Consider the following 18,929-nt stretch of genomic DNA (forward strand, 5'->3'; position numbering starts at 1 on the left):
AAAAAGAAAAGAAAAGAATACACGGGTGCTTTTGGAGGAGCGTTCTATGCCAATCCAGCCCATGTTTCAACATTTTTCCAGAATGGACCAGAGGGCCTTGAGGGAAACACGCAATAAATAGCTCCCAGATCAAGATTTTAACAAAGGACATAAGGAAAGAAAACTGAAAAACAGACTAACTGGTTAAAGTACATTTTGATGTTTAGTTAAAAGGCCACTGACATATTTACCAAGTACACACTGAAACAATCAAACTTAAGTTTAGGTACCAAAGGTTTTCAATAAATAACAAAGACTAGAAAGCATGCAGACATTGATATGAACTGGATGCAACTAATTTAAAACAGCAACTATTTTGAAATTGTTTTTTAAAAAAATCTAACGAATTCTGGGGTCAACCGGAAAATAACTGGAAAATATACAAGTACAGAAACGAATGATGTGAGCTGATTATAGGATGCTGCAAAGGCATCTTTCAGAAGTCATTATGTATTAAGAAATACAACTTTTATAACTTAGATTTATCTCAAACTCAAACTGCAAAATAAATAAATAAATAAATAAAAAATAAAGAGAGAAATGAAGAGGAACCAGAAAGAAAAAGAAGGAAGTCCATTATACGAGAAGAAAAGCATTTTTGAGGTCTTTTTTTGTTATTTTTTGTTTGTTTGAGATGGAGACTCACTCTGCCACCCAGGCTGCAGTATAGTGGCACAATTTTGGTTCACTGCAACTTCTACCTCCTAGGTTTAAGCAATTCTCATGCCCCAGCCTCCCAAGTAGCTGGAACTAAAGGTGCACACCAACACCCCCGGCTAACTTTTGTATTTTTAGTAGAGATGGGGTTTCACCATGTTAGGGTGCTTTTGAAATTGTGACCTTAGGTGACCAGTTCACATGGGTCGACCAAAGTACTCTGATTGCAGGGATGAGCCACCACGTACCGAGGCTTTGATATCCTTTTTTTTTTTTTTTTTTTTGAGATAGACTCTCACTCTGTCGCCCAGGCTGGAGCCCAGTGGTGCGATCTCGACTCCCTGCAAGCTCCGCCTCACAGGTTCATGCCATTCTCCTGCCTCAGCATCTGGAGTAGCTGGGACTACAGGCGCCAGCCACCATGCCCAGCTAATTTTTTGTATTTTTAGTAGAGACAGGGATTCACCCTGTTAGCCAGGAAAGTCTCGATCTCCTGACCCCGTGATCTGCCTGCCTCGGCCTCCCAAAGTGCTGGGATTATAGGCATGAGCCTCCGTGCCTGGCCTCATATCCCTTTTAAAAATTACTATGATATATCCCTTTCAAAAAGTACTAACTGAAAAAAGTACTATCTCTTTAAAAAGTACTGGCTCAAAAAAATAATAGAAAATAAGAAACAAAAAACAGGCTGAGAAAAGTGGCTCACATCTGTTGGCCATGCTGGTTTCAAACTCCTGACCTCAAGTGACCTATGTGCCTTGGCCTCCCGACGTGCTGGGATTACAGGTCGGAGCCACCACACCTGGCCCCATCCTCTTAACATAAACACTTGAATGTCAATAAAGGCTTGAACTCAATGTTAAGTCAACACAAACTCAAGTCAATGCTGAATTGACTCCAATGTCAATTAATGCTTGATGGTTTGCTATACTCATTTCATTGGGAACGGTTATCTCAAAAATGAATTTTCTGATGTTCTGCATGGAGTGATCTTGGACTGAAGACCTTGCCACACTGATGACATTTGTAAGATTTCTGTCCAGTATAGATTCTCTGATGTCTAATGACGTGTGAACGTGAAGCAAAGGCTTTGCCACAATCATCACACTTGTGAGGTTTCTCTCCTGTATAAATTCTCCTATGTTTTGCATAGGATGAAGCTTGACTGAAGACCTTGGCACAGTCATGACATTTGTAAGGTTTCTCTCCAGTATGAGTTCACCGATGACCTGCAATATGTGAACGATCTCTGAAAAATTTGCCACATTTATTACACTTGTAAGATCTCTCTTCATTATGGATTCTCCAATGATTTGTAATCGTTGTAGCATTACTGAAGACTTTGTGACAATCATTACATTAGTCAAGTTTCCCTACACCATGAATTGCCTGATGGTGAATAAGTGTTGACTGCTTGCCAAAGGCTTTGCCACACTCATTACACTTGTAAGGTTTCTCTCCAGTGTGAAGTCCAGTATGTTGTTCCAGGTGTGAATCACTCCCAAGTCTTGTCAGAAACCTTACATTTGTAAGCTTTCTCTCCAGTATAAATTCTCCTATGTCTTTAAGGTGTGATTTCCAAATGGAAACTTTGTCACATGCTTCACATTTCTAAGGTTTCTCTCCAGTATGAATTCTATGATGACGTGAAAGGTGTGATTGTTGATTAAAAGCCTTCCCACATTCATTACACTTGTAAGGTTTCTCTGCAGTGTGAATTCTGGTATGTCTTGACAGGAGTGAATTACGCACGAAAGCCTTGTCACAAATTGTACATTTGTAAGATTTCTCTCCAGTATGAAGTCTACGATGGTATATAAGGGATGAGCAGTGACGGAAGGTATTGCCACACTCATTACACTTGTAAGGTTTCTCACCACTATGAAGTCTACGATGGCAATGAAGGGATGACCTGCGACTGAAGGTCTTGCTGCACTCATTACACTTGTAAGGTTTCTCACCACTATGAACTCTATGATGGCATACAAGGTATGACCTGTGACTGAAGGTCTTGCTGCACTCATTACACTTGTAAGGTTTCTCTCCACTATGAATTCTAGTATGTTTTGCCAGATAGGAATGACACGCAAAAGCCTTGTCACAAACCTTACATTTGTATGGTTTCTCTCCAGTATGACCTATCTTATGTGTCTCAAGGCTTGATTTACGACTGAAAACCTTTTCACATTCATCACATTTGTAAGGTTGCTCCCCAGTATGAATTGACTTATGAATTAAAAGATCTGAATTTTGACCAAAGGTCTTCCCACATTCATTACACTTGTAAGGTTTTTCTCCACAGTCAATTCTAGTATGTTTTGCCAGTTGTGAACTCCACACAAAAGCCTTGTCACAAACCTTACATTTGTAAGATTTCTCTCCACCATGAAGTCTATGATGGCATACAAGGGATGACTTGTGACTGAAGGTCTTGCCACACTCATTACATTTATAAGTTTTCTTTGCAGTATGAATTCTTCTATGTCGAGCCAGCTGTGAATGCCACGTGAAAGCTGTGTCACAAACCTTACATCTGTATGGTTTCTCTCCAGTATGAATTCTCTTATGTGTCTCAATGGTTGATTTCCGACTGAAAACTTTGTCACATTCTTCACATTTGTAAGGTTTCTCTCCAGTATGAATTCTATGATGTGAAAGTTGTGATTGTTGATTAAAAGCCTTGTCACATTCATTACACTTGTAAGGATTTTCTCCAGTATCAATTGCCTTATCAATTAGAAGGGCTGAATTTTGACCAAAGATCTTGCCACACTCATTACAATTGTAACGTTTTACTCCAGTATGAAGTCTACGATGGCAGGTAAGGGATGACTCCTGACTGAAGGTCTTGCCACACTCTTTACACTTGTAAGGTTTCTCAACAGTGTGACATCTATCATGGCATGCAAGGTATTGCTCGTGATTAAAGAGCTTGCCACATACATCACATTTATATTGTTTGTCTCCTAAATGGGGTATCTGGTGTTTCCTTAAGAGTGAGCTACAATTAAAGGCTTTGCCACTCTTATTACATTGGAAAGATTTTTCTCTCATGTGTACTTCCTGTTTTTGTGGGAGTAATGAAGAATTCAGGGGATTATTCCCATAGTTATTAGAAATCTGGGTTTGGGGCCTACAGGAAATTCTTTGGAATGTTGAAACTGAGGGAGCATCATTAGTAGACTTCTCAAGTTGATTACCAATTTCACCTTTGATCTGAAATATGTGGAGTTCAGGCAGATGTGAATAAAAGCTTGATCCAAGCTGATCTTTAATAGGCTTGTTTCCAGCATGCCTGTGATCATGTTGGTCTGTGCTACCAGTCAACTTTTTTATTTTTGTCATGGGTGCTTCAAGGCCATTTCTTTCATCTTCTTGACACTGAAACTCAATGTCATGAATTTCTTTCTCAATTTCCTGGAAGCAAAAATCTCCAATGTGATGACTTTCATGTCTTTGCAATGTCCCTGTGTGGATCACTTCTGTATTGCCTTGCCCTGTTGACAAGACCTCCTTCATCATGCATTTGGAAGAGATATCTACAAAATATAAACACCAATACATTTCCAATTAAGTACAGATGGTAAATCACACTGAAGTGCATAAATATGACACAAAAAACGATACTTATTTTGAACTTCCCAAACATCATCTTCAAAGTTTAGGAAAACGAAAGGAGCAATATTCTTTAGTAAATAAAGGGTGATTACATGTCCTTCAAGACAATTCTATGAAAGCCTATTTCCTATGTCATGACAAAACACTGACAGGGCACAAACATGTGTAAGCCTAAAGTAAGGAGTATTTTTCCACTGTGACCCTGAACTGTATCACAATTTGCAAAAAGCATATCACCATCACATCGGTGAAGAGAAAAATATATACTCTTCATATTTAAAGCATATTTACTCTATACAAATAAATGCTAAAAAAAAAAAAAAAACTCCCCACACAACATACTATATTGGTAAATAATCCACAACAAGCTCATGTAAGGATAACCAAAAGCAATGGAAATTCCGTATTGTCAAACAATTATAGCACTGAGAAGATAAGAAAAGATTACAAAAATTAGCCAGGTATGGTGGCCCATGCCTGTAGTCACAGCTATTCAGGAGGCTGAAGCACAAGAATCACTTAAACCTGGGAGGTAGAGGTTGCAGTGAGCCAGGATCACACCACTGCACTCCAGCCTGGGTGACAAAGTGAGACTCTACCTAAAAAAAAAAAAAAAAAGTTAATAGAATATTTTTCTGAATAAATGTCATAAAATTACCTATAAGAACAGGCACTTTGTGACTTTTCAAAAATTTTTTGTATTTTTATTTTTTTGAGATGGAGTCTTGCACTCCAGCTTGGAGTGCCATGGTGCCATCTCAGCTCACTGCAGCCTCTGCCTCCTGGGTTGAAGTGATTCTCCTGCCTCAGCTTCCAGAGTAGCTTGGACTACAGGCATGCACCACTATGCCTGGCTAATTTTTGTGTTTTTAGTAAAGATGGGGACCATATTGGCCAGGCTGGTCTCAAACTCCTGACCTCAAGTAATCCACCCACCTCGGCCTCCCAAAGTTCTGGGATTACAGGTGTGAGCCACTGCACCTGGTGGCACTTTGTGACATTAACGAATAGTGCATGTCAGTTATATTGCATACCACATACCGAAAAGCCATATGCAAAATTATAAAAATTAATTAATAAAATATTGTAACCCAAGATAAAACCAGCAAGCAAATAAGTACATTTATACAGCCTGCAGAATTCTAAACAACTCCCTCTTAAGAAAAAAGCCACAACTTCTACTCAACCACCAGCACACAATATAAGAACTGAAATACATGTTAAGATCACTACCTTCTGATGTATGAGGCCAAGAAAATACACAGCATTAGGCCAGGCGCCTTGGCTCAAGCCTGTAATCCCACCACTTTGGGAGGCCGAGTCAGACGGATCACGAGGTCAGGAGATTGAGACCATCCTGGCTAACACAGTGAAACCCCGTCTCTACTAAAAAAATACAAAAACATTAGCTGGGCATGATGGCTGGTGCCTGTAGTCCAAGCTACTCTGGAAGCTGAGGCAGGAGAATGGCATGAACCTGGAAGATGGAGACTGCAGTGAGCCCAGATCGCGCCACTGCACTCTAGCCTGGGTGACAGAGCGAGACTCTGTCTCAAAAATGAAATAAAATAAAGAAAATACACAGCATCTTAAGAAATAAGAATTGGCTAATGGCTGGGCACGGTGGCTCACACGTGTAATCCCAGTACTTTGGCAGGCCAAGGCATGTGGATCATGAGGTCAGGAGTTCAAGAACAGCCTGACCAACATGGGGAAACCCCATCCTACGAAGAATACAAAAAAATCAGCTGGGCCTGGTGGAGGGCGCCTATAATCTCAGCTACTTTGGAGGCTGAGGCAAAAGAATCATTTGAACTCAGGAGGTGGAGGGTGCAGTGAGCTGAGATCGCACCATTGCACTCCAGCCTGGGTGACAGGGCAAGACTCCGTCTCAAAAAAAAATAAACAAAGGAAGAAAGAATTGACTAATAGTATAGAAAAGTGTAATTATGATGTCACAACTACACTTATGTAACAGCCAGGCAATACAGCAATTTTATATATATGCATTCCCCATAGTTATCTAGTTCACTATGCATAAAATATAAAACATAGAATGTGTACTAGGAAAATTTATTAACTGAGATCAGAGAAAACATTGTATAAAACAAATTGCACAATAAGAACAAAAAATATGATGTATGTTCCCTGGCCCGAATGTTCGCATTGGCTAAAAGCCACTATCAGATTTCTTATTCCCCAATAGGATGTTCCTGCAGTTGGGGTCTTTTAGAGAGTTTTGTAATGGGTGTTGACTAATTATGAATAGCACTAGGGCTTTTAATTGTATTTTTTCTTTCTTTTTTTCTTTCTCTCTTTACTATTTATTTTTATTTATTTATTTTTTGAGAGGGAGTATCACTGTGTAGCCCAGCCTGGAGTGCGGTGGTGCAATCTTGGCTCACTGCAACCTCTGCCTCCCGGGTTCAAGCGATTCTCCTGCCTCAGCCTTCAGAGTAGCTAGGACTACAGGCATGCACCACCATGCCCAGATAATTTTTATATTTTTAGTAGAGAAGGGGTTTCACCATGTTGGCCAGGATGGTCTCAATCTTTTGACCTCATGATCCGCCCTCCTCGCCTCCCAAAGTGCTGGGATTACAGGCGTGAGCCACCATGCCCGGACTCTTTATTTATTTTTGAGACAGAATTTCGCTCTTGTTGCCCAGGCTGGAGTGCAATAGCGTGATCTAGGATCACCACAACCACCGCCTCGCAGGTTCAAGCGATTCTCCTGCCTCAGCCACCCGAGTAGCTGGGATTACAGGCATGTGCCACCACTCCCGGCTAATTTTGTAGTTTTAGTAGAGATGTGGTTTCTCCATGTTGGTCAGGCTGGTCTCAAACTCCCGGCCTCATGTGATTTGGCTGTCTCAGCCTCCCAAAGTGCTGGGATTGCAGGCGTGAGCCACCATGCCCGGCAAAGACTAGTGCTTTTATAAAAAGAGACAGTAAAGAGCTCATTGCCTGCTCCTCTTTACACCACATCAGGACACGGCAGGAAGACGGCTGGGCTAAACCATGAAGAAGGCTCTCACCAGGAGCCAATCTAGCTGACATCTTGTTCTTGGATTTCCCACTTTCCAGATTCATGAGCAACAAATTTCTATGTCTTAAGCTTTCCAGTTTCAGCTATTTCTTTTTTTGTCTGTTTTTGAGACTGAGTAATGCTTCATCACCCAGGCTGGAGTGCAGTGGCACGATTCTCCTACCTAAAGAGATTCTCATGCCTCAGCCTCTTGAGTAGCAGGGAGTACAGACACATGCCACCATGCCTGGCTAATTTTTTTTTTTTTTTTTTTTGGGAAACAGAATCTAACTCTGTCACCCGGGATGGAGTAAGTGGTGCAATCATGGCTCACTGCAACATCCAACTCCAAGGTTCAAGTGATTCTCATGTCTCAGCCTCACGAGAAGCTGGGATTACAGGTTCATACCAACACACCCAGCTAACTTTTGTATTTTTACTAGAGATGGGGTTTCACCATGTTGGCCAGGCTGGTCTAGAACTTCTGACCTCAAGTGATCCACCCGTCTCGGCCTCCCAAAATATTGGGATAATAGGTGTGAGACATCATGCCCGTCCAATGTTTTTTAATTTAGTAGGTTCAAGTTTTCATTATGTTTGCCCGACTGGTCTCAAACTCCTGACCTCAAGCCATCTACCCACCTCAGCCTTTCAAAGTGCTGGAATTAGAGGCCAAAGCCACTGCGGCTGGCCAGTCTAAGCTATTTCTAACAGGACAGTGAAAAGAGTGAGACAGGAAAGGGGGCATCTCATCATCAACATTACTGAGGGCTGACAAATATTATTAAACAAAGGAAGTTGAGTGTGTACTATAAAACTTATATGAAGCCATCTAATAGTACTCATTTGTTTTAAAAAGCAGGTGGATGAATCACTAGTAGAAACTCCATCTCTGCTAAAAATACAGAAATTAGCCAGGCTCGCACCAGGCATAATCCCAGCTACTTGGGGGATTATGTCCTGAGGCAGGACAATCACTTGAACCCAAGAAGTGGAGGTTGCAGTGAGCCGAGACTGCACCACTGCAGTCCAGCCTGGGCAACAAGAGGGAAACTCCATTTAAAAAAAAAAAAAAAAAGGCCAGGCACAGTGGCTCATGCCTGTAATCCCAGTACTTTCGGAGGCTGAGGCAGGTAGATCACTTGAGGTCAGGAGTTCGAGACCAGCCTGGCCAACATGGTGAAACCCCCATCTCTACTAAAAATACAAAACTTGCCAGGCGTGGTGGCACTTGCCTGTAATCCCAGCTTCTCGGGAGGCTGAGGCAGGAGAACCATTTGAATCCGGGAGGTGGAGGTTGCGGTGAACTCAGATTGTGCCATTGCACTTCAGCCTGGGAAACAGGAGCAAAACTCTTTCTCAAACAAAACAAAACTAAACAAAAAACAAAAAAAAAAACCAACCCTGGAGGCAAATTAACATTATTTCTCAAATAATGACAGCAGGCCCACAGTGTTCATGTACATGACCCCAGTTTGCACGTACGGTAAGTGAGGGACAAGACTTGATCCTGGGCATGAAGGATCCCACGACATGTTCTTAGGCACAATAGTCAGCGCAGGCAGGACAGGAAATGACCAGACACAGAAAATATGAGGAGAACAGAAAGAAGTACATCAAGGGGGATACAAGGACTGAGCTGGGACACAAGCGCTGAGCTGCGCTGCTGACAGTGGTTCTGAAGCCATCCCTCATGGATCATGTGCTGAGTCATGATGTCCTGCACACACTGATTTAAGCGGCCTCCTATAATTTTGTCCAGTGGATGAACAAGGTCTTCACTTACTCAGGGAGAGTAGTGTTGGAGGGGAGGGGCTCACGGGGAAATTGGGGTGTTCACTTTTACAAAGTCAATAGGCTGGTATTTGCATCCAGATCAATGTATCATGTGAGTCAAGGCCAGGAAAGGAAGGGCAAGGGTGGACGGCAGGAAGTAATGGGCATGTAGGAGTGAACTTTGTGCATGCACCTCTGTGGGAATATAATTCCACCAAGATAGACCAAATCTTGAGCTTAGAGGAAAGTGGAACTAATTTAGCAAATGGTAACATATTGACCCAAGGTTAAATATGCAAATTACAATATGGGCAAGGGACAAGAATGAAAGAGATCCAACAATGCAGCAGTACGGTGGCCTGAGGTGAAAGCAGTTTTACATCTCTTAAATTGAATGCCTCTGACTTCTAGTTTCAGGCATGTACTCAACAAAATCCTCTGTGTAGATTCCAGAAATGCATACAAACACACACACAAAAAAACAACTAAACTCCATGAAGAGTACAGTAGAGCAATGTAGGAGACCATGGGGGTGAACAAGGATCCCCTGGCTGAGTAGGTAGAGATGTGTTTGTGAAAACAGAGCCAGGCTGAGTGCAGTGGCTTACTTCTGTAATCCCAGCTCATTAGGAAGACGGGTGGGTGGATCATGTTGTCAGGAGTTCAAGACTAGCCTGGCCAGCATGCATGGTGAAACACTGTCTCTACTAAAAAAAAAAAAAAAAAAAAAAAAAAAAAAACATTGGCCGGGCATGGTGATGCACATCTATGACCCCAGCTACTTAGGAGGCTGAGGTAGCAGATTGCTTGAACCCAGGAGGCAGAGGTTGCAGTAAGCTGAGATTGCACCACTGCACTCCAGCATGGGTGACAGAGCAATACTCCGTCTGAAAAAAAAAAAAAGAAAGAAACTGTACCTTTAATAGACATATGGTTTTGCCACATTGTCTAGGCTGGTCTCGAATTCCTGACCTCAGGTGATTCACCCACGCACTTCCAAAGTGCTGGGATTACTGGCATGTGCGACTTCACCCAGCTGACATTATTTATTATAGTAAAGAGAAGAAACCAACCCAGATGTCCATTGACAGATAAATATACGAACAAAATGTGGTACACACATACAGTGGAATATTATTCAGCCTTAAAAACAAACTCGGAAGGGGCCAGGGGCTGTGGCTCATGCCTGTAATCCCAGCACTTTGGGAATCCAAGGCAACTGAATCACGTCAGGCCAGGCTATCAAAATCAGCCTGGCCAACATGGCAAAACTGCCATCTGTAATAGAACTACCAAAAATTAGTCGGGTGTGGTGACACATGCCTGTAATCCCAGCCACTCAAGAGGCTGAGGCAGGAGAGTCGCTTGAACCCAAAAGGAGGAGGTTGCAGTGAGCCAAGATCATGCCACTGCACTCAAGCCTGGGCAACAGAGTGAGACTCTGACTCAAAACAAACAAACAAAAAAACAACAACATAGAAATGAACAAGTTGAAAGCCACTGTGTCTTAAGGAAATGACAGTAGAACTAAACAATGGAAACCTCATTCAACCTCAAAAGCTTCCTCAATAAGATTGATGAAAACCATATCTCTTACAGGGTTGATCCTACAACAAACTGAACATAGGTTTTCTTGTTAAAAATGAACAGTGACACATATTGGTGTGAAAAATGTGACATGAACAAGAGTTCAGTCAAGAGCCTCATACATATGAGGCTGTGAGCCCGAATGATGTCCTCGCTGGGAGGAATTGCAACACCACTGACTGCTGCTTAGAGAAGATGATCATTAGTTTATGGGATGAACATTGTCACAGTGCCAGTGAGAGACGCTTCTGTGATGCTCCTCAAAAACCAGAATGAGCTGGGCATGGTGGCTCACGCCTGTAATCCCAGCACTTTGGGAGGCCGAGGTGGGTGGATCACCTGAGGTCGGGAGTTAGAGACGAGCCTGACCAACATGGAGAAACCCCATCTCTACTAAAAATACAAAATTAGCTGGGTGTGGTCTCGCATGCCTATAATAACAGCTACTCAGGAGGCTGAGGCAGGAGAATCACTTGATCCTGAGGGGCGGAGGTTATGGTGAGCCAAGATCATACCATTGCACTCCAGCCTCGGCAATAGGAGCGAAACACCATCTCAAAAACAAAAAACAAAAAACAAAACCCATGTATGGGGCAAAATCACAAAAGAGGATACAAAGCCAGGATGAGCCAAGATAGACAAGAGCAGACTCCTCATGTCTGCAGGGACATTTTCCTCACCCACAGCCTCCAGGTTCCTGTAGTTCTCCAACATCACTTCCCTGTACAAAGCCCTCTGTGAAGGGTTCAGGCATTTCCACTCTGCCAATGAGAATTCTATAGCCACATCCCGGAAAGTCAAGCGTCCCTAAAATGAAACACACATTTCAACAAAACATTATGGAGTAATGAGTTATCACCTTCACAGAAAATGAGAAATGAGAAAATAAGTATTTATTTGATCAAAGATTATGTTCTGACAAAAGGATGTTAAGGTATTTTTGAATATTTTTTCCCTATAGTTGCGTTTTATTGTAGTTTTCCTTGAAAGATTTTAAGATCCCATAAGTCACTACGGAAATCTCGATTTTATGGACAATATAAAAACTATAAAAATAAAAAGGAAAAACAGGGCCAGGCATGGCAGTTCACGCTTGTAATCCCAACACTTCAGGAGGCCAAGGCGGGCAGATTATTTGCGGTCAAGAGTTCGAGACCAGCCTGGCCAATGTGGTGAAAAACTGTCTCTCCTAAAAATATAAAAATTAGCCGGGCATGGTAGAAGGCACCTGTAATCCCAGCTACACAGGAGGCTGAGGCAGGAGAATCACTTGAACCCGGGAGATGGAGGCTGCAGTGAGCCAAGTTCGCACCACTGCCCTCCATCCTGGGCAACAGACTGACACTCCATCTCAAAAAACAAAACAAAACAAAACAAAAAAACAATGCCGGGCAGTGACTGTCACCTGTAATCCCAGCACTTTGGGAGACCAAGACGGGCAGATAATGTGGTCAAGAGATTGAGACCATCCTGGTCAACATGGCAAAACCATGTCTCTACTAAAAATACAAATATTAGCTGGGTGTTGTGGTGCAGGCCTGTACTCCCAGATACTCAAGAGGCTGAGGCAGGAGGATCGCTTGAATCCGGGAGGCGGAGGTTGCAGTGAGCCAAGATCGCACCACTGCACTTTAGCCTGGCAACAGAGCAAGACTCCATCTCACACACACAAAAACAAAACAAAACAAAACAAAAAAACAAATACAGGGTTTTCTCTATAGACATGCCAGATATTATGTTCAACATACCGGGTGATATTAAGTCTCTAGATGAGCTAAGATACATGTGGTGCTTCAGAGAGGACAAAGTCCAATGGCTTTCAAAGAAAAGTCCAAATCTAAAAACTGGCACAGTGGCTCATGCCTGTAATCCCAGCACTTTGGGAGGCTGAGGTGGGCGGATCACAAGGTCAGGAGTTCGAGACCAGCCTGGGAACATGCTGAAACCCCTTCTCTACTAAAAGTACAAAAATTAGCTGGGCGTGGTGGTAGGTGCCTGTAATCCCCAATACTGGGGAGGCTGAGGCTGGAGAATTGCTTGAAACCAGGAGGCAGAGGTTGCAGTGAGCTGATACCATGCCGGATACAAAATCTCTCTCCTTATTATTCTCCTTTTCCAGAATTAACCACACATCTGTGCACATTAACATATGTATTTCATATGTAGTTTCTCTGAGCTGACATCCAGATGTGGCCCGTGAACAACCCAGGCTGCCCAGCAGCACTGACATCAACGGGCTCACACCCCATGTTTATCCATGTCAGGGTGTGAGCCCTTCCCAGGACCATGCCCAGTGGAGCCTCTTCCCAAGTTCATGTCACTGGGTCACAGGAGATGGAATCTCAGAGCAGCTGAGAGGAACTGAGGGCAGGCATGGGTGAGTGCGAGTGAACGTGTCAGACAAGATGCTTCAGACTCAGAAAAGACTGGCTGCTACAATACCTGGCATTTCAGAAACGAAAGACACAGATTAATCCACAGAGGAATATCACTTCACCTGAGGAAGAGCCATGCCTGGCTCCTTTCCTTTCCTCTTCTGAGCTGCTTCCTCACGTAACATGAGTCTTTAGGAATCAATCCTGTATGTGAAAAAAAATGAGACTTCATGTTAGAAATGACTCACTCCCTTCCTGTGACAAAAACACACGAACGGGGGAGACGTCACCCTGTAGAAAGAAGTCCCCCACTGCCCACTGCACCAGAGATCATGCAGAGATAAGGAAGTCCCACAGGAAGACCTATGAGTGTATATTTGACCCCAGTCTTCAGATCTCACCTCTCTCCTGGAGAAGCCACCACACACGAGGCAGCAGTGGGGAGCTGGGCTGGACTGATCTCCCCTTCAGGGCACAGACTCATCCTTCATCAATTGCCATCCAGAGGACAGCCCCTCACCTCTCTGTGGATCACAGGCTGAGGTCAGCCCTCAGAAATGCAGGACTCAGAGCTTCCATGCTCAATGCTGCACACAGATGACAAGCACCTGGGCCACTGCAGGTATTACTGAGGGTGGGTTCCATCCCGTCAGAATAAGAATCCCTGCTAAAGTGGCACAAAAGCTCTATTTGCAAAATGCCTCGACTCTAACGTGAAGCCAGGGTTGAGCTCCACTCAGAGGGGGCGAGCCCAGCACAGCCCCATGTTCTGGCTCTGCCCTCCCCTTGGGGCCTTGTTCTCACCAGGATCCAGACAGTGGATGACAAAGGCACAAAAATAATCACACAGAACAGGCAATGTGGAGAAGGGGTAGGGTGAGGGTTGGGCTGTGTGTAAGGAAAATAAATCTTGGGGCCCCAAATCACTAAGCAAAAGGGAAAAGTCAAGCTGGGAACTGCAAGGGAACCAGACTCCCCTTCTATTCAAAGTCATCCCTCTGCTCCCTGACACAGATGCATATCTGAGTGCCTCCTTCAAAAGACTAATTAGAAACTCAAAAGAAGGACCCAGCACAGTGGCTCAGGACTGTAATCCCAGCACTGTGGGAGGCCAAGGCAGTCAGACCACTTGGGGTGAAGAGGTAGGGACTAGCCCAGCCAACATGGTGAAACCACATCTCTACTAAAAATACAAAACTGATCCGGGCATCTACTTGGGAAGCTGAGGCAGGAGAATCACTTGAACCCAGGAGGCAGAGGTTGCAGTGAGCCGAGATTGTGCCACTGCACTCCAGCCTGGGGGACAAAACGAGACTTCATCTCAAAAAAAAAAAAGGAAACTCAAAAGACTGCAACCATTTGTGCCTCAGTTCTCTGTGAACTAAAAGCCCCTTCCCTGCTTCAAGTCTTCCTGCCTTTATTTAAAGTTGTCCCACTTTCCCAGACCAAACCAACGTACTTCTTACATATGTTGATGTCTCATGTCTCCATAAAATGTATAAAATTAAGCTCTGCCCCGACTATCTTGGGCAAAATAAACTTTCTAAATTAACTCAGATCTGTGTAAGATTTTCTGGTTTTACAGTGGCAATGTCAAATGGGAGATCACAAAGGAAACCCGGAGAAGATGATACCAGAACAAGGACCTAGAAAAGAAAGGCTGCTTGTCACTTGCAGCTGAGGGGAAGAGAGTCCTAGGCAGAGGGACAGCTCAAGTGAAGGCCCTGAGACAGGAGCAACCTCAGCCCCAGGAATAGGAAAGCAGCCTGTGTGGCTGGAACAGTGGAAGAGAGGAGGGCACAAGTAGGAGATGAGGAGAAAAATGTTCAAAATATACACAACTGTGCACACACAGCAATAGGTGTTTAAAACACTGAAAAAGAGGCAGCTGTAGAAATGGGATCTGAGCAAATGCTTTTCTCATGAACACATGGGCTCTGCTAAACCAAGGTTCCAAGTCAATCCAGCCCATCCTTCAACATCTGTAGAGAATATTATGGACCAGAGGGAATTGAGGGAGACACTTACTTAGAAGCTCACAGATCACCATTTTTTCAGATGATATGAGGAAAGAAAATGGAATAGGCTACTTGAACTAAATTTTCATGTTAGGGTAAGGAAAAAAGGTCCTTGATATCTTTATCAAGTACACACTGAAACAACCTAAAATTATATATCACGTAGTAGAAAACGTTTTCGATATATGATAAAGACTAGAAAGCACACAGACCTCAATGTAAACTGAACACAATCTCATAGAGAAACAATTTTAAAATGGTTAAAAAATATAGATCTAATGAAATCTTGGGTCAAAGGAGAAATATTTGAAAATATACCATACTTTGAAAACAATGAGGCCAGGCATGGTGACACGCCTATAATCCCAGCACTTTGGGAGGCCAGGGCATGATCACAAGGTTAGGAGTTCGAGACCAGCCTGGCCAACATGGAGAAACCATGTCTCTACTAAAAATACAAAAATTAGCAGGAAATGGTTGTGCACACCTGTCGCCCCAGCTACTCTGGAGGCTGAGGCAGGAGAATCCCTTAACCCCAGGAGATGAAGGTTGCAGTGAGACGAGATCATGCCACTGCACACCAGCCTGGGTGACAGAGTCTCAATAAATAAAAATATATATCTAAACATTAGCCAGGCCTGGTGGGGCGTGCCTGTGGTCCCAGGGAATCCAGAGGCTGAGGTGGGAAAATCACTTGAGCCCAGGAGGTTGCCGCTGCACTGAGCTGTGATCCTGCCACTGCACTCCAGCCTGGACAGCAGTAAGAGTGTCTCAAAAAAACAGAAATTAAAGGCCCGGCAGCTGCTCATGCCTGTAATCCCAGCACCTTGGGAGGCTGAGGTGGGAGGATCACCTGAGGTCAGGAATTCAAGACCAGCCTGACCAAGATGGAGAAACCCCATCTCTACTAAAAATACAAAATTAGCCGGCCATGGTGGTGCGTGCCTCTAATCATAACTACTCAGGAGGCTGAGGCAGGAGAATCACTTGAACTCCAGAGGCGAACTTTGCAGTGAACCAAGATCATGCCATTGCACTACAGCCTGGGCAACAAGAGCAAAACTCAGTCAAAAAACAAACAAACAAACAAAAAACAAAAAACCCGACAACAACAAAAATAAGTAAATTAAAAGTAAACTTAAAAAATGAAAAGCAACTAATGAGGCAAAGCATGGTGGCTCACACCTGTAATCCCAGCACTTTGGGAGGCCAAGGCGGGTGGATCACGGGGTCATGAGTTCAAGAGCAGTCTGGCCAAGATGGTGAACCTCTGTCTCTGCTAAAAATAAAAAGTCAGACAGGTGTGGTGGCAGCTGCCTATAATCCCAGCTGCTTGGGAGGCTGAGGCAGAGCATTGCTTGAACCCGGGAGGTGGAGGTTGCAGTGAGTCAAGATCACTCCACTGCACTCCAGCTTGCCTGACAGAGAAAGACTCCATCTCAAAAAGAAAAAATAAATGAATAAAAACACACAAAAAAACCAACCACATGAATGAAATGAAGAGGAACTAGAAAAAAGGAAACCAATTACAAAAAGAGAACAAAAGCACTTTTAATACTCCTTTCATCACGTTCCATATAGTAACAGAGACTCAGTCACTTCTTACCCTACTTCTCTCCCCCACTCCCCACCCCAGCCATGAAAAGGGAAGAGGGTGATCCACAACTAACGAGTCAAGTCACTGTCCTCTGGCTGAAGAGGGGTTGCAGAGGGAAGCTGCCTCTGATGCCATCATTATAAAATGCACCACACTTAGACACAGGAGTTTGGCAACTCTCATTCTCATCTGTATAATTTAAACTAATTTTAAATTTGTTACCTTATAAACAGAGAAAGCAACATGTCATCACTTCATCATCACATCCAATCAACTCACCGCTCATCTGCACCCAGGGTCCCCCTTCATCTTCATTACTGTTCCATCATTCTATACATAGCTCTTTCTCACCTTCTCTCTCCATCTGTTTCTTTTCTGCATTTCCCCCTGGACTTCTGCTCATTTTATGCCCCTCTCCTGTTTTGCTTCATTCTTTTTTGTTTTGTTTTGTTTTTTAGTATTTATTGATCATTCTTGGGTGTTTCTCAGAGAGGGGGATGTGGCAGGGTCATACGACAATAGTGGAGAGAAGGTCAGCAGATAAACACGTGAATGAAGGTCTCTGGTTTTCCTAGGCAGAGGTCCCTGCGGCCTTCCGCAGTGTTTGTCTCCCTGGGTACTTGAGATTAGGGAGTGGTGATGACTTTTAAGGAGCATGCTGCCTTTAAGCATCTGTTTAACAAAGCACATCTTGCACCGCCCTTAATCCATTTATTTAACCCTGAGTTGACACAGCACGTTTCAGAGAGCACGGGGTTGGGGGTAGGGTTACACATTAACAGCATCTCAAGGCAGAAGAATTTTTCTTAGTACAGAACAAAATAGAGTCTCCTATGTCTACTTCTTTCTACACAGACACAGTAACAATCTGATCTCTCTTGCTTTTCTCCACATTTCCCCCTTTTCTTTTCGACAAAACCGCCATCGTCATCATGGCCAGTTCTCAATAAGCTGTTGGGTACACCTGCAGAAAGGCTGTCACTTCACACTTGGAAGATTGCACAGCGGCCAGGCAGAGGCGCCCCCCACCTCCCCGACGGGGCGGCCGGGCAGAGGCGCTCCCCACTTCCCAGATGGGGCGGCCGGGCAGAGGCACTCCTCACTTCCCAGAAGGGGCGGTTGCTGGACAGAGGCGCTCCTCACCTCCCAGATGGGGCGGCCGGGCAGAGGCGCTCCTCACCTCCCAGATGGGGCGGCCGGGCAGAGGCGCTCCTCACCTCCCAGATGGGGCAGCCGGGCAGAGGCGCTCCTCACTTCCCAGACGGGGCAGCTGCTGGGCAGAGGCGCTCCTCACCTCCCAGACGGGGCAGCCGGGCAGAGGTGCTCCTCACATCTCAGACGGGGCGGCTGCTGGGCAGAGGCGCTCCCCACCTCCCAGATGGCGTGGCCGGGCAGAGGCACTCCTCACATCCCAGACGGGGTGGCCAGGCAGAGGTGCTCCCCACTTCCCCGATGGGGTGGCGGCTGGGCAGAGGTGCTCCTCACTTCCCAGATGGGGCGGCCGGGCAGAGATGCTCCTCACTTCTCAGATGGGGTGGCTGGGCAGAGGCGTTCCTCACCTCCCAGACAGGGTCGCAGTCAGGCAGAGGCGCTCCTCACATCCCAGACGGGGCGGCCGGGCAGAGGCACTCCTCACTTCCCAGACGGGGAGGCCAGGCAGCGGTGCTCCTCACTTCCCAGACGGGGCGGCCAGGCAGAGGCGCTCCTCACTTCCCAGACAGGGCAGCCGAGCAGAGGGGCTCCTCACTTCCTAGACGGGGCGGCCAGGAAGAGACGCTCCTCACTTCCCAAACGGGGTGGTGGCTGGGCAGAGGCGCTCCTCACTTCCTAGATGGGATGGCGGCCGTGCAGAGGTGCTCCTCATTTCCCAGACTGGGCAGCCGGGCAGAGAGGCTCCTCACATCTCAGACAATGGGTGGCCAGGCAGAGACGCTCCTCACTTCCTAGATGGGGTGGTGGCCGGGCAGAGGCTATAATCTCAGCACTTTGGGAGGCCAAGGCAGGCGGCTGGGAGGTGGAGGTTGTAGCAAGCCAAGATCACGCCACTGCACTCTAGCCTGGGCAACATTGAGCACTGAGTGAGCAAGACTCCGTCTGCAATCCCGGCACCTCGGGAGGCCAAGGCGGGCAAATCACTGGAGGTCAGGGGTTGGAGACCAGCCCGGCCAACATGGCGAAACCCCGTCTCCACCAAAAATACAAAAACCAGTCAGGCTTGGTGGCTTGTGACTGCA

The 18,929-nt window shown here is 45.1% G+C and overlaps 1 protein-coding gene across 4 annotated transcripts in view, besides 1 other annotated feature; it reads right to left on the minus strand.

Annotated features, from left to right (window-relative positions):
• Positions 1–183: 183 nt before the first annotated feature.
• The window catches only part of ZNF611 (zinc finger protein 611), a 32,232-nt gene continuing 13,486 nt past the window's right edge, over positions 184–18,929 (minus strand). For 2 of the 4 annotated variants that reach the window (NM_001161500.2, NM_001161499.2), the window contains 3 exons: positions 13,203–13,284; positions 11,386–11,512; positions 184–4,235 (listed from right to left, as the gene is read on the minus strand). In NM_001161500.2, coding sequence (NP_001154972.1) covers positions 2,308–4,235; positions 11,386–11,512; positions 13,203–13,265 — 2,118 coding nt within the window. In that variant the 5' untranslated portion in view covers positions 13,266–13,284 and the 3' untranslated portion in view covers positions 184–2,307. Of the gene's footprint in view, positions 4,236–11,385; positions 11,513–13,202; positions 13,285–13,481; positions 13,605–18,929 lie in introns of all 4 variants that reach the window. The other 2 variants (NM_030972.3, NM_001161501.1) reach the window with 2 other exon arrangements.
• Positions 13,799–14,371: an enhancer, noted in NCBI's record as "OCT4-NANOG-H3K27ac hESC enhancer chr19:53219681-53220253 (GRCh37/hg19 assembly coordinates)". NCBI's record gives its function as "activates a minimal SCP1, AML or CMV promoter by ChIP-STARR-seq in naive and primed H9 embryonic stem cells {active_cell/tissue: H9 hESC(naive and primed)}" and the evidence as "EXISTENCE:reporter gene assay evidence [ECO:0000049][PMID:30033119]".

The sequence above is a fragment of the Homo sapiens genome, chromosome 19 (genome assembly GCF_000001405.40).
Source record: "Homo sapiens chromosome 19, GRCh38.p14 Primary Assembly".
Lineage (NCBI taxonomy): Eukaryota > Metazoa > Chordata > Mammalia > Primates > Hominidae > Homo > Homo sapiens.